At 37.3% G+C, this 22,888-nt stretch overlaps 1 protein-coding gene across 11 annotated transcripts in view, besides 1 other annotated feature; it reads right to left on the reverse strand.

The window, feature by feature from the left end:
• Window positions 1-22,888, reverse strand: part of DIAPH3 (diaphanous related formin 3) — a 498,346-nt gene that overhangs the window by 74,575 nt on the left and 400,883 nt on the right. The window lies entirely within an intron of this gene.
• Window positions 10,858-11,152: a silencer, noted in NCBI's record as "tiled region #8361; HepG2 Repressive non-DNase unmatched - State 24:Quies, and K562 Repressive non-DNase unmatched - State 24:Quies". NCBI's record gives its function as "represses a minimal TATA promoter and a strong SV40 promoter by Sharpr-MPRA in HepG2 and K562 cells {active_cell/tissue: HepG2 | K562}" and the evidence as "EXISTENCE:reporter gene assay evidence [ECO:0000049][PMID:27701403]".

The following is a 22,888-nucleotide window of genomic DNA, read 5'->3' on the forward strand; positions in this document are numbered from 1 at the left end:
TATGGTACAGAATTGTTTCAGACTATTCTTTGTTTCCTTAAAAATATACCCCATGTAAGAACCATTACGGAATATTTTAAGCACCGCATTTAAGAAATACCTATTTTTGAGTCAGAAAGATCTGAGTTCCAATTCACCTCTACCATATTATACCTATGAGACTGTACACTAATGATTTCATCTCTTTCTCTTTACCTTGGAGATGAGAATAATCTGACTTGTTTCCTAGAACTGTTGTAAGAGTTAAATAAGATAATAGATAGTACCTGTCACATACAGAGTGCTCAGTAAGTGATGTCTGAGAATATTAATTACAGTGATAGCACTGGTGACATTTAATTAGCCTGTTTGCTGGGATTTCCCAGATGCTAAGTCTAACACCAAGCACGAAGTTCTTCTACAGTTTGTAAAATTAGCAAACAATGGAAATTTAAGCAATAAATAAAAAATGCCACAGAAGGAAGTAAAAGCAAACTTAATTTTAACTTAGGTATCCTGAGAAAAATTTCATCAAGTTGTATATAAAGGGTCAAGAAACGTACCGCAAGCTGGAATTAGGTAACTTATCTACCTTTATTTAACAAGTTAGAATCACTTGATCTATATTAGAGAAAAAATATATTTACTTCCCCCTTCATATTTTTCACACTATTATAAAGGAATAGAGGTCAGGAAATGAGGAAATAAATAAGAAGAGATGAACAAAGAAGGTGTAGCCCCAAAGCATGAAGGCCATTTTCTCAAAGATTGTTGGTGAACAGCTCAAGGAATCTATGCCCAAGGCTGGGAAGAGAAAAGAAACAATAAGGATGATGAGCAGATAGGGGTAAGGGTAAGTGGTGACCTGGAATTGTAGGAAACCAAGGTGACTAGTTATTTGTTCTGCCTCACTCTAGCTGTTAACGGATCATTTTTACAGCTTGACCCACTGTTACTCCTGACAAGACAAACATGATCAACTTAAAGAAGACTTTAAAATGAAGCAGGTGCTTTCTGAAAGAAAATGAATGAGTATAAGGGCTGGGGTAGTTAGGAAAGAAGAAATACAAAGGGAAGCTTTTTTCTTGAGTTTTCTTTCTTTATAGGCATACTTTGAAAAGTGTATCTATAGAGAACAAACACATAAACAAAAAATCTGAGTGAATATCTATAGAGGGGAAAGAAAAAAATTATACTCTTGCAGCATTTATGCTATTGTACTACATAGGTGAGTTTCTCATATTCCACCTAATGAAAGTATTACAGATTTACGTGTATCTCAGAGAGACAAAAACAGAAGACAAAACTGTAAGTATTGCTAGCAGTAAGAAAGTGGGGGGCCAGGCGCAGTGGCTCATGCCTGTGATCCTAGCACTTTGGGAGGCTGAGAAGGGGGAATCACTTGAGCCCAGGAGTTCATGACCAGCTGGCAACATAGTGAGATCCTGTTTCAAAAAATAAAAATTGGTCAGGCAGGAGCTGAGGTGGAAGGATTGCTTGAGCCCAGGAGGTTGAGGCTGCAGTAAGCCGTGATTGCACCACTGCCTTCCAGCCTGGGCAACAAAGCAAAAAAAAAAAAGAAAGAAAGAAAAGAGAAAAAAGAGGGTTACAAAATACAACTTTTAATGAGATATTCCACTCTATAATTCTAAACAACTGTATCATCTTAAATAAATTCAAAATGACATAGGGGGTAAAATATTTCCTACCTATTGCATGGTTCATGACTGAGACCCCTATAACGAAAGACATATTAACAACAGAAAAGCATATTGTATTAGTCTTTTCTCATGCTGCTAATAAAGACATACCCAAGACTGGGTAATTCATAAAGGAAAGAGGTTTAATGGACTCACAGTTCCACACGGCTGGGGAGGCCTCCCAATCATGGCAGAAGGAGAAGGAAGAGCAAAGAGACTTCTTACATGGAAGTCAGCAAGAGAGCTTGTGCAGGGGAACTCCCATTTATAAAACCATCAGATCTCATGAGACTTATTCACTATCATGAAAACAGTATGAGAGAAACCACCCCCATGATTTAATTATCTCTACCTGGCCCCACCCTAGACACGTGGGGATTATTACAATTCAAGGTGATATTTGGGAGGGGACACAGCCAAATCACATACATATTTATTTAATGTAAGTTTTACATGACAGGTGAAACTTCAGAAATGAAGACCCAAAGAAACAGGAAAATTTGCATATTTTTATGCTTAGGTTTGATGAAAAGTGGATAGTCAAGCAGATAAACTGTGGAGAATTTATGAAGGCCTGTTTGTTCAGATTCTTCCTAATGTCTCTGTGCATCCTTCTGGGTAACAGGGAGGACTTTTCTGGTTCTTATGACTTACCTTAGATCAATCCACAGATGAGTAGTAATCTAAAAGGGCTGGCTTCTGATGTAAGCATGGATGCTGCTAAAAGAAGAAAAGAAAAGAAAGAAAAGGAAAGAGAAAAGAAAAGAAAGAAAAGAAGAAAAGAGAAAAAAGAGAAAGGAAAGAAGGAAGGAAGGAAAAAGGAAAGGAAAGGAAAGGAAGAAAGGAAGGAAGAAAGGGAGAAAGGGAGAAAGAAAAGAAAAGAAAGAAAAGAAAGAAGCAGATCAAGACATGTCTCTTCTACACAGTAGGTCCTGTTTTTACTTTTTATGCTTATATTTGATGTTGATATTTAAGTAGCTTTGACAATTCATCCTTCATAAGTTGACATGACTCAACAGAAATAAAGAAATGATAGATTTTGGGGTACGCATTTTCAAAGAGAACACCACATTTTGAATCTTAATGAAATGTTGGAATGTGAAATAAAGAGGCAACATTCCTAGAAGGTGAAAGAATTGTACAGAGTTGAAAAGTGTGGATCACACTGGGAACTGCCAGTGGCTCAATTATAGCCAGGCAGTGGAATCTGGTGATGGAGTGGGATGAAATAAGCCTAGGAGGCACAAACAAAATCATGTGGGGAATTCACATTCTAAACTACTGGAACTTACACAGACAGCCCAAGAAAAGATTTGTATTTTTTGATGATCTCTTTGGCAGTGATAGTATGAAGGAATGAAATGGACAGGAGGACAACTGGAGGAAGGGAGAATGATTGGGATGTTACTGCAACAAAGCAGTCTGGAAATGAAGTTGGCCTGAGATAAAGCAGTGGCACTCAAAGAGACGGAAGACCAGACTTGAGCAACCTTAAGGAGATAGAATAAATCATGCTTGGTGACAAATGTGGTATGTATGTAGTAGTGGTCGTGAGTAAGGCAAAGGAGGAAGTTTCCAACATGGGGGAGCAAGTTGGGTTGGTGTTTGGGAGGTGAGATAAGAGGACAGAGATGTACCTTGTTGGGGGTGGATGACAACACCCAAGGAGAGAATGCTCTCACCCTGGCCTCACCCCTTAAAGGTCTGTGTGAGAGCCCAAACTAAGAACGGCCAAGAAAAGTGCAAATATTCCTTTTCTGAACATTTTAAAGAAAAAGTGGCATATTATCTTTCTCTAATGGCCCTTCACAGATCTACTGAAGGGTCTCTTCTAGCCCTTTTGATTCTATGACAACTGCCTTTTTCAGAGTTATATGGGATGCTTGGGGAATTAATGGGATATTTGTAAAGCATTTTCATTTCCTTTAAAGTTTTTATTTACAATCCATTTACATACATTTAAATGCAGCTGGAAAAGCATATTTAAATTCAATTTCCTTTGAAATTGCCAAGGGACTGCAACAGGGAGAATAAAAAAAGCACTTTAATAGAGGAAAAAAGTCTACACCCCACAGGCATCACTGTCCCTTTCTTGTCTCAAAATACACACATATACACACATAATCAAGTAAAATGGTGGCAAATCATGCTATTCTTACATTAAATTTGTTAGGATCGACTTTTTATTTTGGGGGTTAAGTTTCTATATTTCTAAACAACTATACGGGTCCTGGTCACATATGTTCATTTTGAGAAAAATACATTGAACTGTGCCCTATGACTTGTACATTTTCTGCATGTATATAACTTTTCAGTAAAATAATAATAACCACCACCAAAAATAAAACCCCACATTTTAATGATGGTTATGAATTAATCTGATACCAGATGATGACATGATATCCAATTATTGCACAGATTATATTGGTCAATTATCTGAAAACTATGACTCAGGGACAGGTGACATTATGAGTAGAAATAATATCCACCAAGTTCAGTTAATACATACTATGTGCTGGGTATTCTGTTAGGCATTAGGGAATCAACGATGAAGAAGATGGTCTCTGCCCTCCAAGAGGGCACACTCCATTACAAGCTTGTCCAACTTGTGGCCCAGGATGGCTTTGAATGTGGCCCAACACAAATTTGTAAACTTTCTTAAACCATTATGAGATTTTGTGTGTAATTTTTTTTTTAGCTCATCAGCTATCATTAGTGTTAGTATATTTTATGTGTGGCCCAAGACAATTCTTCTTCTTCCAATGTGGCCCAGGGAAGCCAAAAGATTGGAGACTCCTTCTCTATTAGGAAAGACAACTATAACCACCACTGACCACGTTTACAGAGAGGTATAACTTATTATCACAGCACAGAGCAGCCCTGATTAGCTTTCTTTGGCCAGGAGTGGGGCAAGAGTGGGCCTTGAAGGTGACATCTGAAAGAGTTTTGGAACCAACAGTGCACCTGGACAAAGCAGAAAAAAATTGCAATCAGGGCGACTGACCAAAGATGTGAAGGCAAAAGCACTTTAAGAGGATAGAGATGCACCATGTTGGGGATGCCTGAGGGAAGAGCCATCGAGTAGATGAGAACACTCAGGGAGAGAATGCTCTCACCCTGGCCTCACCCCTTATAGGTCTGCATGACAGTACAAATAGCTAGAGTTTATGGATAACCTTAAGACTTGGAACCTTTTTTGTTCCAAGAAGGTTTCTTGCTATAGTTGCTTTCATGAGAACAACTTTAGCCTGCTAGAAAGGAAGAATTTAAAAACTTGGTTATTTGTTTGCTTTGCTTTTTCCTCTAGCTTTAACACACAGCCTGAGGTTTGTCAGCATGTTTAACAAGAGCCAAGCAAGAAAGTGAAAGAGAAGGCAAAAGAGAAGGGAGATGGACTAAAAAACAACACAGCAGGGGCCAGTACTATTTCAAGTGTGAATACTGAATTGTTTAACCTAGAGGTTAATTATCTTTTAAAAACAGAATACCAAAGTTTTAGCAATTTCTTCTGGTATATCTGGAGAATGATATTTCCAATAGGGGATCAGCAAAATATCTTGGAAGAGGTATTTCAGACAAGTGTACCTAGGGTGTTGAGTTTTCTCATGATTTTAGTGGGTAGAGAAAGGAAATTGACTCACAAAAAAAAATGACTAGTGTTTGTAATAGAGATATTCCTTGCACAACTGAGAATTACGTGCAAGCCAATGGTTGCCAGTTCTCAAGAATATGTAACATATGAGGTAAGGCTGCACATACAAACACAGATTAAGTTAAACAGTCATTCATAATGCTCTGGTTAATCAGAAGCCCAGACTTCACTGAAACAATGTATTATACTAGCTAGGGAAGGCAGACTGGAGAGGAGCAGCCTACCCAGCACTGTTCTCAGCTCCAGTGAACTGTCACTAGCAAACTGATTTAAAAAAGAAATGAATGCATACAATCAATGCATACCTTAGGGATATGTAAAAATTATTTTTTAAACAAAGAAATATTCTAATAGTTTCACCCAACTACTCTGCTCTGCTTGTTTGGCAGTTTTCACTAATATTGAAAATATGTTTCAAGCTGAGTAAATATTCTGGAATGATATGAATTGAAAGTGAATATTTCTAATCACTAGTTCATACACTAATTTTCTTTTTGCACTCTCAGGGTGTTCTTTTTAAACAATGTTTACATCTTAAAAACAGCAATTCTGTCCATGTTGTATATTACATTTATTTCATGTTTATTTTTGGTCAGTAATAATATTACCTATTTAGCATGATTTTATTGTATATATCTTTTATATTCAGGCAGCTTTAAAAATATTTTATTTTTTAGTGAAAAACAAAACATCAAACAAGTACCAACAAGAAAAATATAAGCCAGCTGGGTTTTTGTTTGTTTGTTTATTTTGAGACAGAGTCTTGCTCTGTGGCCCAGGCTAGAATGTAGTGATAACAATCTTAGCTCACTGCAACCTCTGCCTCCCAGGTTCAAGCGATTCTTGTGTCTCAGCCTCCCGAGTAGCTGAGATTACAGCTGTGCGCCACCATACCCAGCTAATTTTTTTTTTTTTTAGTAGATTGGGTTTCACCATGTTGGCCAGGTTGGTCTTGAAACTCCTGACCTCAAGTGATCTGCCAGCCTTGGCCTCCGAAAGTGCTGACATTACAGGTGTGAGCCACTGCAACCAGCACCAGCTGGGTTTTGAATAGTCACCCTCAAGACTTTAACCCTGTTTTCACATTGGAACTTGATATTAAAAGGTGAGAGTTATTCCAGATCATTATCTCCAAAATTCTCCTTTTCTGATCAGAGACATTTCAGCTACACAATAAGTTTTGGAGGAATTTGTTTAAAAACAGTTCCTAGGCACCTACACCCAGAAATTCTGATTCAGTAAGTCTGGAATGAAGTTCATAAAAGTATTTTTTACAGAAGCTGCCCACTTGCTTATGACACATAGCAAGGTTTGGAACCACTGACAGCGTATTTCTCATTATGTATAATTTATAATTTAAATAGTGATAGTTTCTGGCTTGACTCATCATTTTCCTACAATGACTGACAAAGAGAAAAATGAATTTATGTTTTAAAAAGTAAAAACTTGAACTACCATCACCCACAAGTTATAAAATCATAATGAGATGCAAAAAATTATGAATATATAATTACTTGGAAACATTCATTTTTGACTCGTTTTCTTAGGAGCAAATTGCTTAATGCTGCATACAATAAAAATAATTCAGATAACATCACTAAGCTGCAAAGAAGTCATATTTGGCTGAAAATGACTGAGAAAATAACCACAATAGCAAACCAAACTATAAACAAATATACTAAAAAATAACTGATTGCCAAGTACCAATATGAAAAAAAAATTCAGTATTATTCGGGATGATCACTGAAACATGTGCACTTAGGGAAGGATTTTCCAGACAATGTCCTGGTAAGACTTGACTCTGGCATAAATCAAGAGGGAATGAATCTTTCAATAAATATTTATGTGACTTACAGATTTTGCATCTAGGTATTTTAAATCAGCCTGTTTACACCCGTATGTTGCTAGAATGGCTCATCAGCCTTCCTGGGAGAAAGGTGAATGGATCATCATGAGATGTAACTCCTTCAAGGTTCCTTTATTTAAAAGGAGGGACAAGGCATGAGTGGTTTAAGTAAGGGTTAAAAAATGAATTTTAAAATTCAGGTCACTCATTGCCCCATTCTCCCACTGGAGTGTATTTTCAAGCCATCAGGTCCTGCCTTGGCCACTGGGACCTGAGAAATATCAAGCTGGAAGGAGAGGGCCATATAACCTCATGAGCACCCAGACAAGATTTCCTCTTGGGCTTCAGTTACATCCTACTATAGAGGCACTCTCTCCTCAAGGGGGCAATGTGTCAAATTTGAATGACATCTATGACTGCATTCTTCTCACTTCAGGAAGTGACTGTCCTGCTGTCCACACAAGAATGACAGGAGAGCCATTTTGGTTCCTAGATTTCTTTTCCGCATAGTCAACTCTTCCTTCCTAGGTAATAGTTCTTATAAATGCCACTACAATCAAGTGGACTGATTCTAAATGCCTGCAGGCTCTATGCCTTCCACTATAAATTATTTGAGAATGCTATGTCTTGGCCCAAATGAGGTTAGCTAGCCAGAGCATGCTGCACCACTAAAAGCAAAGGTCTACAAATCATGCAATAAGATAAGTGGTTGCAGGTTTTTACACTGGAAGACTATGGAACAGAGACAGCAGTGGCTCTGATTCTGCCCCTGGAACAACGTTGGTAGAGTTCCGGGTACCAAAAGAGCTGCTTTCCTGCTAAGTTTGAATATTATGTACTTGTAGAAAGCTTCTTGATATTAGAGCACTCCTCAACCTACATTCCAGTTTTAGGCCCTTCAGATCTTTGGTCATTAGGGAAAAGAACTTTGGCAGAGTGACGGCGGAATATCTACTCTAGTTCTCTAGAGGGCTGCTGTGGCTTGATCATTACGGAAATCTATCCTACCAGTTCTCATGCAATACATTGCAAGGTTTTGTGAAAACACAAATACTCTCTGCCAAGAAAAAAATGGATGTGCAGCCTCATTGTAAAGACATTTTAGACTTCACCTGTGCTCAGAACCCTATGGGAGACCCAACCATGTTTCTGGTTGTTAATAGTCTGAAACAAAATATCATTATTGATCCATTTGTTTAAAATTCCAGTAAAATAATTAGTCATTAAATTAGAATCCTCCTAACTTGATTTTTCTATTTGTAAACACCTTAAGAGGCAGCCTTTACTTTCATTGCTACAAGTGTTATTTACAAATCCATTTTTCTTCAATCAGCTGCTGTGATATAAATGTATGCAACCTGTAAAAACTTAAATTGCTTCCTTACACCTGGATATTCAACCAACCTCTAGATGTCTGTAATTGTATGAAGGAAGGTGTAACCATATCTAAGCATTTTATATTAGAGGGGGCCAGAAGCCACGGTTGGTGGTAATCTGACAGCATCTCAATCTCTGTTGACTGAGGAATTAAGAGTATTTCTGACATTTTAGAGCTCTTTCATCATGCTGAGCACACAGTGTTTCAAAAGTAAAGCCAGGTCAGGTGCGGTGGCTCATGCCTATAATCCCAGCACTTTAGGAGGCCGAGGTGTGTGGATTACTTGAGGTCAGGAGTTCGAGACCAGCCTGGCCAACATGGTGAAGCCCCGTCTCTACTGAGAGTGAGATAGTTAGCCAGGTGTGGTGGCATGAACCTATAGTCCCAGCTACTTGGGAGGCTGAGGCAGGAGAATCGCTTGTGCCCGGGAGGCAGAGGTTGCAGTGAGCTGAGATAGTGCCACTGCACTCCAGCCTAGGTGACTGAGACTCTGTCTCAAAAAAAAAAAAAAAAAAAAAAAAAGTACGGCCGGGTGCAGTGGCTCACGCCTGTAATCCCAGCACTTTGGGAGGCAGAGGCAGGTGGATCATGAGGTCAGGAGATCGAGACCATCCTGGCTAACACAGTGAAACCCCGTCTCTACTAAAAATACAAAAAATTAGCCAGGCGTGGTGGTGGGCACCTGTAGTCCCAGCTACTTGGGAGGCTGAGGCAGGAGAATGGCCTGAACCCGGGAGGTGGAGCTTGCAGTGAGCCGAGATTGTGCCACTGCACTCCAGCCTGGGTGACAGAGCGAGACTCCATCTCAAAAAAAAAAAAAAAAAAAAAGCCAAATATTTTAAAGTAGATGACTTAATAAAATAATCTTTTATTATATCCAATAGGGCTTATGAAAGAATATCTCAGATATATAATTCACAATTTTATATGCAAGATACCTTGCATATAAAATTCACAAATAAGAAGTATATAATATTTTAAAAATAGTATTATACAGTTCATAGGTATTTCTTAAAAGAAAAAACAACAGGTCTTAGAAAATTTCAAAAAATAAATTTCAAGTTTTTTCTCCTTAGAATTTATGGAATGGTATCTGTTTTAATGAATGAAACTAATTTGTTTAGTGTTTGAGGCACACAAGTGATGTATTAGGATCACCATCATCAGAAACTAATTTATTTCAGGGCCCTTCATGATACTCTGTTAGCTATCTCCCTGGAAAGAGCAGGACAAGTGATACAAACATTAAATATACATGGAGTTCTTTCAAGGAAAACAAAATCACATTGAGTTGAAACCTTCCTTCCCTCTTGGTCAATAAAAAGAGGAATCTGTGGTAATGACTGGGTCATTGTTATTACTGATTTTGACTCTCTCAATACAAAAAAACATAAAGCAATAGTGAGAAATAGCTTGATATAACAAGCCTACAATATTAGTTCTCCTGAATTTTAAGAACATTTCAGCCAGGATGCACTATCAGTCTACTCAATTAGAAGGCACATACGTTAAATTTATACCTAAAAAACTACCTTGAAATTTATTGCTATGTTTACACAATAGCTGGTTTTAAAAACCTCATGAACTTGACCATTTTTATGGGCCAATACACTTTCAAAGGGAGGATATAATAGTATAAATAGTACCTCACATGTTTCTTCTTACCATGATAATAAGTTTTTTCATCTCTAAATACCTACAGCAATTAGGTTTTACAAGAATTACTACTTTCCAGGTTTAAGAACATTTTATCAAATTAAACTAGCATGAAAGATCATGCAATTGGTAGGTATCACTTTGCCTTTTATTTTTCAAAAGGGTCTGCTCTCGTTTATGTTGAGTTTATTTTCAGCTTCAAGTCACTTTTGGCAGTTAAATCATAAGTCTTTAAAAATAAGAGATTATAAGGAGAGGAGGGAGTTACCAGTACAAACTGAATCTAATACCTGTGTGAATTACAATTGGTTGGTTCCAACCAAATGAATATTTTTACCGTAGGCCACGGTAATGCAGTTTTAGATGGAAATAAAAGGAATAACCGTTGATCTGTCTCCTATAGCCTCTGGGCATTCCAATATTGAGTTCAGGCCTGGATAAACAGTTGCTACGATATGCCTAGCACCTACCTCTGAGGGACTGGTGTCAAATTAATCTCCATGTCATCAGTACCTTCTCAACAGGTTTTAAACAGTCTTCTCTTTCCCTCTCCCAGATCAACAGTTGTCAGGGTCTGAGTCAAGCTGTGCTTCTGCCCACATAGTGGCACTGTCAGCACTGTCGGCTGCTCAAATGATTTTTTAAGCAGAGCAGCCGGTTGCCTTCAGCAGCAATGCTTTTGGGGGCACTGCGTGCTGTTCACCCAGAGTCTCTGGCTGCTCTACAACTGTGCTAGTTAAGGGATCGACAGAAGGAACAACAAATGGCTACAATTAGCATTCGCCCTGCTCCTGCAAAAGAATTTCATTGCTATGGCAACGGGAGTTGCCCAGACAACATAGGGCTTTGGCTGAGAAGAGTGTACTGCGTTATACCAAGTATGGAACAAAATAGCCATAGATCAGGCTCTCGCTTCATGGCACAAAGATCTCTGCCATCATCTTTAAGTTTAATTAACAAGAACTGATTTCTTAATTCTGGGAGCCAAGGTTCTGGCTGTTAATAGCCTGAAACAAATATCATTATGGATCCATTCCTTTAAAATTCCAGCAAAACAATTAATCATTAAATTAGAATCCTCCTAACTTGATTTTTCTATTTGTAAACACCTTAAGAGGCAGCCTTTACTTTCATTGCTACGAGTGTTATTTACAAATCCATTTTTTCTTCAATCAACTGCTATGACATAAATGTATACAACCTGTAAAAAGTTAAGTTGCTTCATTACACCTGGATATTCAATCAACCTCTGGATGTCTGTAATTGTATGAAAGAAGGTGTAACCATATCTAAGCATTTTATATTAGGAGCTACAATCTTGCAGGTCTTCTAAATAATTTTACATCAAACAGGAGAATATCTATTATACTGTTTTTGAAGTAAACTTTTAAAGCAGGAAACTGAAAACATCTTGAAATTGGTGTGGTAACAGTACTACAAGTAAAATGGAAAAATTAATCAAATGACATAAAAATGGGTTACCTCAGCCACCATTCAATACCTCTGCAGTCAAGCTTCATAAATTGGTCCAGTGCCACTCATAGTCATGTAAAACATTCTATGGATCTGATCCAGTAACACTTCTTAATGAGCCAAGAAGCAGGATATATTCACAGGCAACACAGGACAATGGGGCTAGCAGGTATAACCTGGCAGATGACAGTGGTCTAAAATTTTCAAAACTTGAAACATTTCCAGAGTACAGTCTCTTTCCCAGCCAATATCCTTGTTAGTATAGAACTAAATATTATCATCAGTAATAACAGTTAACATTTTATTGAGTGCATAGTGCTTTGCATGGCTTGTTTAATTTAGTTTTCACAAATACTCTATAAGGTAGGTATAATTTAAATAAGGAAACCGAGGTGCAAAGAGATTCAGTAACTGCCAGCATATAAACAGCAAAGCTGGGATTCAAAACTAAGTAGACCCCTATAGGGTTTTCTTTACTTCAGCTACATTATTAGTATTGTACCACAATAAGCAATAATGTAGTCAATTTTTTTTTTTTTTTTTTGAGACACAGTCTCGCTCTGTCACCTAGGCTGGAGAGCAGTGGTACTATCATGGCTCACTGCAATCTCGACCTCCTAGGCTCAAGCAATCCTCCCATCTCAGCCTTTCCAGTAGCTGGGACTACAGGTGCACACCAGCACACCCAGTTAATTTTTGTATTTTTGTTAGAGATGGGGTTTCGTCATGTTGTGCAGGGCTGGTCTCGAACTCCTGGGCTCAAGCATCCCCATGTCTTGGACTTCCAAAGTGCTGGGATTACAGACGTGAGCCACTGCACCCAGCTAATGTAGTCATTTTAAAGCTTCAGTCTCTTTTAAAACAAGGGTAAGTACAAATTCTATAATGGGAAAGGTCTAAACAAAAAACTCTTAGCATGTAAGAATAATATTTAATTTAATCATTCAAATTTCTTAAATAATTATCTGGGGATGTGGGTAAGTGGGGAATGAAGAGAGAATGAAACACATTAGCTAGTTCTGGTTTTGGTATAAAATGTCTGAATATATACATGTAAAGTGTCTGAACAGAAATTATCTCTCTTAAGAACACATGTAGACATCCATTTTCATTTTATAAAAGATTATTTTTAAAAGTAAACTCTTTATTAGTGGTAAGTAGCTACTAATGAAAATTACAAATATTTTACTCTCTGGCAGAAATGATTCTGCTTTCCAGCTTTTTAAATACTATCTGGATAGCTCAGATCATACTGTATTTTTAGCTCTGAGGCTAATACCAAACAAATTGGGTTAAAGAACAAAAGCAGAAATAATTTCAGGGTTAAAAATGATTTTTATAAATAGATAAACTTGATGAAGCCTAACTTTTGTCAAATCTATTAGTAAAGGGCAAATATTAGAAAACTTTTCAAGAAATTCGATATCTGAGGCTTCTACTCTGATGAATCACAGATATTTATGTAATTCTAATTTATGAGATCAAGAGTGTTTATAAATCACTAAACTTCAGACAAAATGTAGCTGGAAGATTTTCATGACTCCAAATAATATAGTAATACAAATCTGAAAAATATGTTTTTGTTATACTGAGTTTTTTGGGACTCAAAAGTGTACTGCATGGGGGAAAACTGCTTTGAACATGTTTGAGCAGTAGCAGTATTGAGATTTTTGAGATAGAAAAGCAGATATCCTCTCGTGACACTGCCTAATGGCTGGTATTTTCTGAGTAATATCTATATTTTAATTTTTGATCATAATTATACTTGTCACTTACAGTGAAATAAACACATTGAAACAGGTATATACAAAGAAACTCCAGAATAGTTGTGCCTTCCATCCAATTTGTTATAAATATATTTCTTATGCTTATGGATGTTTTAGGATAATAGAAGCAGAATTGTAAAAGTGCCAGCAATATATTAAGATCAAACAAAATATGGTACCTGAAAGCACTCTGAAAACTGTAAAGTGCTATAAAAATGTGTGTTTCACAAAAACAGCGTTAGCTTTTATGGGCTCAAAGAGATCACCCTTGACATTTACTTATTTTAAGTAAATCAAAGAACAAAAGAAGATAAAGTATATAAATTCCATACCCTTCTAACCCACCCCTTCTAAAACCCTCATCTAGGCCATCTCCAGCCTCCTCCTACTGGGACACCTTCACTTTTTAGCTATTCAACCAATTTAAATACATGCTAAACTGAAGAGAAATCCCTCAGCTGATTGTTCCCATCTAATCTGTCACAAAACAGCCAGGGAGTAAACACAACTCCTGTATCCAACTTATCTTTCTGCTCTCTACTTCTGATATTTTTGAGGGCATCTTCTGTTCCAGAAAAAGTAATCTCCTGATTCCATTCAAAGAAAGGCAATTTACTGAAGTGACTTAGAAAATGGAATTTGCTGTCACAGATCTGGGTTTAATTCTTGCCTCTGTCATTTATCAGCTTTACGATTTTGGGCAAGTTACTTAACTTTTCTAAGCCTCAGTTTGAGACAATGCAAATAATACACTCAACAGCGTCTGACACGTAGTAAGTGGTCAAATACTAGCTACTTTATTCTTTTTGGCATCTTATCTTTCTAAAATAGACTCCCACTCCTCTCACCTCTTATGTCTGGGGCAATCTATTCCCTCCGCTCTACCATTTAGCAGTAACCAACTTGTAGACAGAAGTTCTGAGTTTGTATCCTGACTCTGCCACTTAATAGCTATAATGATCTGCAAAAGCACCCTTTCCAATTACAAATATAGCAAATTGAGAATGAAAATCGAAACTGTTTACTTACAGAAAAATAAGCTCTAGTTTGTAAAAATGGAAGGTTCCACATTAGCTTAATTAGTCACTGAAGAAGGTAGATCTGAGACTAATCATCCTTTTGTCACTTGGATTATTATCAGTCTTGTCAAACCAAACCTAAAATACTTCCTACTATCAATTTCTCATTTGACTCTTAATTTACTTGAACTCTTGCTATGTGCTAGGTTGTACTGATAAGTTTTCATGCATTACTGGATTTTAAGCCTCACAAAGAACCAAGGCTGGAATGATTATGGTCCCATTTTACTGACCAAAAAACCTGAGGCACAAGAAGGAAGTGACTTGCTAAAGGTTACACAGCTAGTAAAGTGGCAACCTACATCATTAACTTCTTTTCTATACAGGTATAGTAAAGATCATTACAGACCTATGAACTATACGTTCAATGTTTAGTTTTTCTGTTTAAATGCTTATATGTTCTGTATTGCTCATACAGCTTATGTTATATACATATTCTCCTTAGAGTTCAAACTACATGGTGTCAGATTCAGTACTTATTTTCAATTATTTAGAAGTCACAGAACTTGTTTCAATACCACACAACTTCTAAGCACTAAATAAATGTTCATTGATAATGAAGAAAATGTGCACAGCCAGGGCAAGGTCAAGGTAGAATCACCCACATGGTGGAAATAATTTGCAATAAAATTATAAAATATTAAAACTTAATGAGCACAGTCTCAATTAGGAAATTGAAAATCTGCTCATTAAACTTGCAGATGATACTTAGTTGGGCAGGGGTTAAATGCTTTAGAAGAAATAGAATTTAAAATGACCTTGATAGATTAGAGAAACGGTTCATCAAAAACAGGATGAAGTTCAATTAAGAGAAGAACAAAATGGTATACTCAAGAACCAAAAACATACCACACTGATTAAAAAAAGAGAATGAGTGGCTAGGCACATGGATGGAAAAAAAGCCACAGATGAAACAATCTGTTACTTGTTGGCAAAAGGGGCTATTTTTTATCTTTACCTATCAGTGGCTTACAATTTTGTTTTGCACACTGAAATCACAAAGAGAGTTTCAAAAAAATACAGTGCCCAGACCCCATCTTAGACCAATTAAATCAGAATGTGTGGAGCTAAGGCTCCATATTGGAGCCATTAGAAAAACTCTCTAGGTATTTCTAATGTGGCCAAGGTTCAGAATACATATGAATATAGAGGATAATATACAGGATATGACATAGAATTAATCATATCCTGTACAGCCATATAATGAGCCTTATAAAAATAATAGCTATTATTATGATCAGACACTGAAATATATGGCTCACAAAGACTAATAAAAAATATGATATTAATCAATGATGATTCCAAATACTCAAAACAGATAAAGGTGATCCAGATCTTGTGGTTCTCAAAGTGTGGTTCTTGTATGAGTAGCACTTGGGAATTGAGAAATGCAAATTCTCATGCCTACCATAAACCTACTGAATTAGTAACTCTGGGTTGAGCCCAGAAACCTGTATTTTGACAAGACCACAGGTAATTCTGGTGCATGCTGAAATTTGAGAACCAAGGCTATAAGCTAAGAAGCCAACTTTCTTTTCTTATAGCATCTGTTTTCTCTTATAATTACATAATTATTATGTGTCTCCTTTTGTAAGCCATTTCAAATTCTTCCTAGAAATAAGTAGGGTATATAAACATAAACTTTAAAAAAGTTATAATCTACTAATACCTTCACTATTGAAATACCTTTTCTTAAATAGATACATGTGGTAAATTTAGTAAAAAGGAAGGAAGGAAGGAAGGAAGGAAGGAAGGAAAGAAGGAAGGAAGGAAGGAAGGAAAGAAGGAAGGAAGGAAGGAGGGAAGGAAGGCAGGCAGGCAGGCAGGTAGTCAGGCAGGCAGGGAGGGAGGGAGGGAGGGAGGGAGGAAGGGAGAGAGGGAGGGAAATCTGCTAAAGTTGCTGTTAAAATAGCCTGGAAGAGAACTTAATTCATTGGATGGCATCATGTAGACTAAGGTTAGTCACAGTTAGTTTTACAGATCCATTAAGCTGCTACCTCATTACCCAAAAACCTTGGGGAAGGAGGTGTGAACCCATCTGAGGTTCCAGCTATTTCTTGCCACTGGGATTTAGGTCTGTCTCTGATTTTCATTCACCTATTTCCAACCCATTACTCCAGTACATCAGAGTTAATAGTATTTATTATCAGTAATGATAAAAACATACAAATAAAACCTACTCAATGGCAGCATTGAAAAATCATCACAAACAGTAATAATAATTTATCCTAATAGAGAAAAAAGAAAGAGGAAATAATAATATTGAAGTTTCTGATTTTTCCTTAAGGATGACATAGTTTGCTAAGAAATACTGAGAAGGTTCTCCCTCCTACTCCGTTTCTGGTTCCTTTGCCCCCTTAATTTTATCAGTTACAAATAAAGGATGAAAATATATGCAATTTCACAGCTAAAGAAAAATGCAAAACAATAAGACACCATTTTGTCGATAGTAAAAATTCTGAGACACATCCAGTGTTATTGAGAATTAGATGAACGGACATGTCCATAGGCTGCTGGTAGGAGTATAATTTAGTATAATCTCTTCACTCCACCCAGACCAGTGAGGCAATATGTATAAAAAGATTCAAAATTGTTCATATCTGTTGCATTATCCTGAAGAAACAGTGCTATATATAATGGTAAAAAAAAATTGAAAAACATAAAAGCCAAACCCTACCTAGGAAAGCTAGTTATTATGGGTCATCCTTTTTTTTTTTTTTTTTTTTTTTTTTGAGATGGAGTCTTGCTCTGTCACCCAGGCTGGAGTGCAATGGCGCAATCTCGGCTCACTGCAAGCTCCGCCTCCCAGGTTCACGCCATTCTCCTGCCTCAGCCTCCCGAGTAGCTGGGACTACAGGCGCCCGCCACCACGCCCGGCTAATTTTTTGTATTTTTAGTAGAGATGGGGTTTCACCGTGTTAGCTAGGTTGGTCTCGATCTCCTGACCTCGTGATCCGCCCACCTCGGCCTCCCAAAGTGCTGGGATTACAGGCGTGAGCCACCGCGCCCGGCCTATTATGGGTCATCTTTACTACACAGCCATGTCATGCAGCCACTGAAACACTGTTAAAAGAGTACATGCTACAAGGACAATATTCATAACACAAGTGGCAGTTTGACATGTGTTGTGATAAAATTGCATCAAAATCTATTCATTCTCAATATGAAAAATGATGGTGAGCTAATGGAAAAATGGGCAAATAAAACCTACTCAATGGCAGCATTGAAAAATCATCACAAACAGTAAATTGATCCTAATAGAGAAATAACACACAGGACAGACTTGAATAAGCACTTCACATAATAGGATACCCACAAAAGCAAATAAGCCTATGAAAAGGTACTCATATTATCCATAGAAGAAATGCAAATCAAAACTACACTGAGATACCCTACTTGAATTACTAAAACTCTAATACCTGGCTTTTGGAAGTATAAACTGGTACAACTATTTTGGAAAACTGCTGGACAGTATTTACTAAAGCTGAATATATGCATATCCAACAAAACAGCAATTACACTCCTAGGTGTATGTCTGATAGAAGCAAAAGACATACATAATAAAAACATTCTTAGCCATGTTATTTGTAATGGTTCAAATCTAGATACAACATAAATATCCACTGATAACAGGAAAAAAATGTGTGATATGCCCTTATAGTGGAATACTAAACAATAGTAAGAATAAATGAATTACAGCTTCATACAACAACATGGATACAAAGTGTACAATCCTATTTTTGGAAAGAACAAGGTAAAGCTAGTTTATGCTCAGAGTCAGGACATGTGTGGAATGTGAGGTAATGACTGGCCACGGGGCTACTGTGTTTCTAATTAAATTCTGTTTCTTGATCTGGTTATACAGGCAAGCTCATTTAATCAACATTCATCAAGCCATATACTTAGGATGGTTTACTTTTCCATATGTATGTGATTCTATCATATAAAGTTTACATTTAAAATGAAGGAAGAAGCTAGGGAGTATATGGGAAGTTTAAATAAAATAAAACAAAACGTCCTAAATCAATGCAATACACAATGCCAAGCAATTTAGTGAAGAGGGGGCTTCACAGAGGCAAGAATTTTCTCTCTCTTTTTTTTTTTTTTTTAAGAGACAGGGTCTTGCTCTGTCCCTTAGGCTGTAGTGCAATGGTGGGATCATGGCTTACTGCAGCCTTAACCTGTTGGGCTTGAGTGATCTTCCTATCTCAGCCTCCTGAGTAGGTGGGACCATGGGCGCACACCACCAGAACTGGCTAATTTTGAATTTTTTTTTTTTTTTTTTTGTAGAAACAGCATCTCACTATATTGCCCAGGCTGGTCTCGAACTCCTGGGCTCAAGCTATCCTCCTGCCTCAGCCTCCCAAAGTGCTGGGGTTACAGGCATGAGACACCACATCCAGACCAGTGATAGTCTTTTATTTCTGATTTTGAAATAGTGCTTGGCATTTTTTGAAAGAAAAATACCTTTTTCACATGATTAAAGAAGACCTTAGTGCAAAAATACAAAGAGGTTATAGATAGAACTGGAGATCTGTTTAGAAGAGCATGTGATGAACCATATGGGCCTACAACACAAAAAAGCAAACTTTGAAAAATACATAAGGATGGGCCCGGGGGCACAGAAACTACCACAAGGAGAGTGGTATCAGCAGGATATGAAAACTAATCACAAATAACTTAAAAAATTATTCTCAGAACCCCTTTTCTGGTTATTAAAACAATATGCAGAAGACACAGAGTTAATTTCTAGGAAATATCACATTTCTACAACATAGTACCTAGAGTTACTGACTTGTATTACTTCATCCCATCACTAAATACATTTCTTTCTCATCCTCAGCAGATCAAGACTGCTTATATTTAGGCAAGGAAAGGGAACGGGGATCAGTAAATGAAGAGAAAGTAGGTTAACAGAATGAAGAGTAATAGGCGGTGTTCAGCTTCCAGTAAGTGAGCAGCAAACAGAGACACCAGTGTTTAAAAAGTGATGAAAGTGGCTGGGCACAGTGGCTTTGGGAGGCAGAGGTGGGTGGATCATGAGGTCAGGAGTTCGAGACCAGCCTGGCCAACATGGTGACACCCCATCTCTACTAAAAATACAAAAACATTAGCCAGGTGTGGTGGTGTGTGCCTGTAATCCCAACTACTGGGGAGGCTGAGGCAAGGAGAATTGCTTGAACCTGGGAGGCGGAGGTTGCAGTGAGCCGAGATCGCGCCCACTGCACTCCAGTCTGGGAGACAGTGTGAGACTCCATCTCAAAACAAACAAACAAACAAACAAACAAACAAACAAAAAGTGATGAAAGCCTTGAGACTTATTAGAGAGGCTGCTATTGTCAAAGGCTGCAAGTGTAGAAACAGGTCCTAGGCGCTGTCTCAGGCAGGACTTTTCTCTGCCCTAATAAGACTGTCAGAGATTTTCCTTAATGCACTATGCCCTTCACTTTTTTCTTCTGGCATATTAAAAAATAGAGCATACATCATCACTCTCATTTGAGAAGCTGCCTGATAACAGATAACAAAGAATTTTAAAAGATCTTTTTCTTTATATTTTCTCCTCCTTTCGTACATGGGGAAAACTAAGAAAAAGTTATGAAATATGCTTTCCATCCAGTGATAAAATAGCACTTTGGATTTAATAAAACTCTGTTCATGGTTTATCAAATATCAACTTAACAACTCTTCAGAGTAACTATATTAATAAGATGTGAGTAATAAAAGAACTGATAATAAAAGTTTCTTAGTTGTCTCTTATATTTGTAGCCTTGAAGTTACACAGATTTTGAGTTACTGGCTTGTCAGAGCTAAAATACAACAAGATGTTTTAACATTTTAAAATCCTAAACCCTAACGGTATTTACTAGTTCATCTTTCCATGTGAATATGTTGGTAAATGTGGACTTCGTTGTTATTTGCATATCATATTAGCATTGTTCTGCTGCATACATGCTTTAATGGAGGAAGGTATGCAAATATAATAGGCCTAATTATCTTATCTCAAAAGAAAAAATGTTGTCAGACTTTTTTAACCTTAAGGTGGCAATACAAACTAGGTGAGGGTACATACAGTAATATATGAGGTAAATGAGTGATGCGCTATTGTTTTCTTTGGTATATTTCAGTGTTCCTTTGTTTCATTATTCTTCTAGAAATTGTAATAAGACAGCTCCTGTGACTAATTAACCCAAAGAGGTTTGACTAATAGAAGGAGATTGCAAGCATGATTACTTAAATGATCATGTACATAGCACTTAATGATCATTATCATTTATTCTAATATTAGTGCTAATAAATGGTAAAACTGTTTAAGCCAAATGCTGTCACATCACAATAAAGTACATCATGGCTAACACTAATAATTTCTAATTTACTTGGGAATCAATGAGACATTATAGCATTCTTAATGCATGTCAATTCTTGCTTCAAAAAATTTATAAACCCTTTAAAAGCATAAAAATATTTAGTATTTATCTCTTTACCTAGACGAAATAACAAACTGTCTAACCATCATTTCCCCTCCAAACCACAGTTCCAGCTATGCTAACTACATCCCTGGCTTTCATGAGATCAGTGTAATACACGAAAAGTCACTTCTTTATAAAAAAAGTCAACGATTATAACTAACATCAGTGTTTCAAAATGCGAATTTCATCCTACCCTCTTGCTTACTAAGGAGTCAGTGGATACACATTATCTACCAGAGTTTTACACACTACCAGAAGGGTACCTTTGCTCTAAAAAGTAAAAAAAAAATGTAGAGTGGTACTTGATTTTTCTCTATTGCTCATTTCTATCATTTTTTTTCGCACATTAAGAATGACAAGGGAAGAAAATAATTCAGAAATGTGCTGCAAAATCACTGGTCAATATTATCTATACAACACAAAAGAAAAGGTTGGAAGGGTGTTCATTTTATATGCAAAAGCACATTTATTATCCTGAGCTAGTGACACTACCATTATTGACTCCTATCATCCCTATCACTCCTTAGGAGTGTACACTGAAGAGCATTTTAGTTTCTGGATCACATAAAAATGATAAGCTGAGAGGTAGAACAGAGAAAATTCCTCTTTAGGTTTATATATAGCATTGGAAGACAGAAAGTAAAGAGAAATAATGCAAAATAAAAGTACAACCAGTGTATTTTAGGAGAAAAGGAGATAGATAACTAAATGAAAGAAGAGATTTCGGCTTCTGGTTATATCTTAATACAGATAAACTTAGAAGCTCAGACAGCTGCTAGATGGAAGCTCCAGTTCCTTACAACTTGGGTTTCTCCAAAGGGCTGCTCAAAACATAGTGTCCCCCATAGCCAAAGAAGAGGGAGAGAGAACAGAGCACCCAAGATGAAAGCGTCAGCATCTTTTTTTTTTTTTTTTTTTTTTTTTTTTAGACAGTCTTGCTCTGTTGCCAGGCTGAAGTGCAGTGGCGCGATCTCAACTCACTGCAACCTCTTCCTCCTGAGTTCAAGCGATTCCCCTGCCTCAGCCTCCGGACGAGTAGCTGGGACTACAGGTGTGCACCACCACACCCAGCTAATTTTTTGTATTTTAGTAGAGACGGGGTTTCACCATGTTGGCCAGGATGGTCTCGATCTCCTGACATTGTGATCTGCCCGCCTCAGCCTCCCAAAGTGCTGGGATTACAGGCGTGAGCCACCGCGCCCGGCTGCTTCAGCATCTTTTATAATCTAAGCTTGTTAGTGAGATACATTTCTGCCATATTTAATTGGAACAATGTTTGAGGTGGGAGTGGATTATATAAAGGTGTGAAAAAGAGGCAGAGATCATTGGGCACCATTTTAAAGTCTGGTTACAATGTTTCTATTATTATGGCAAAGTAAAATAGTATCTAGGACTATGCCAAGTAGTGTACCATAATCATATATCACTTGTCTTTTTTTCTAAAATTAATAATTGCCTATTGCCTCTTTTTTTTTTAGTGTCTATCATTATGGTGGTCTAAAATCGTCCCGGAAGCCTTTTAATACAATTGTACAAATGATCATTCAGATTAATTGTAAGATTCACATTTTCCCCTGATCTTCCCTGCTATGGTTTGAATGGCTGTCCCCTCCCAAACTCATGTGGAAATTTAATTGCCATCATAATAGTATTGTGACATGAGAACTTTACAAGGTAATTAGGCCTTGAGGCGTCTGTCTTAGTTAATGGGTTGATGCCATTATTGTGAGAATAGTTTCCTTACAAAGGATGATGAGTCCAGCCCTGTTTTGTCTCCCTTAGCCCATCACCATGGGAAGATGCAGTAAGAAGGCCCTCACTAGATGCCAGAGCCTCAATCTTGAACTTCCCAGCCTCCAGAGTTGTGAGCCAATAAACTTCTGTTCATAAGT

The sequence above is a fragment of the Homo sapiens genome, chromosome 13, assembly GCF_000001405.40.
Source record: "Homo sapiens chromosome 13, GRCh38.p14 Primary Assembly".
NCBI classification, from domain to species: Eukaryota; Metazoa; Chordata; class Mammalia; order Primates; family Hominidae; genus Homo; species Homo sapiens.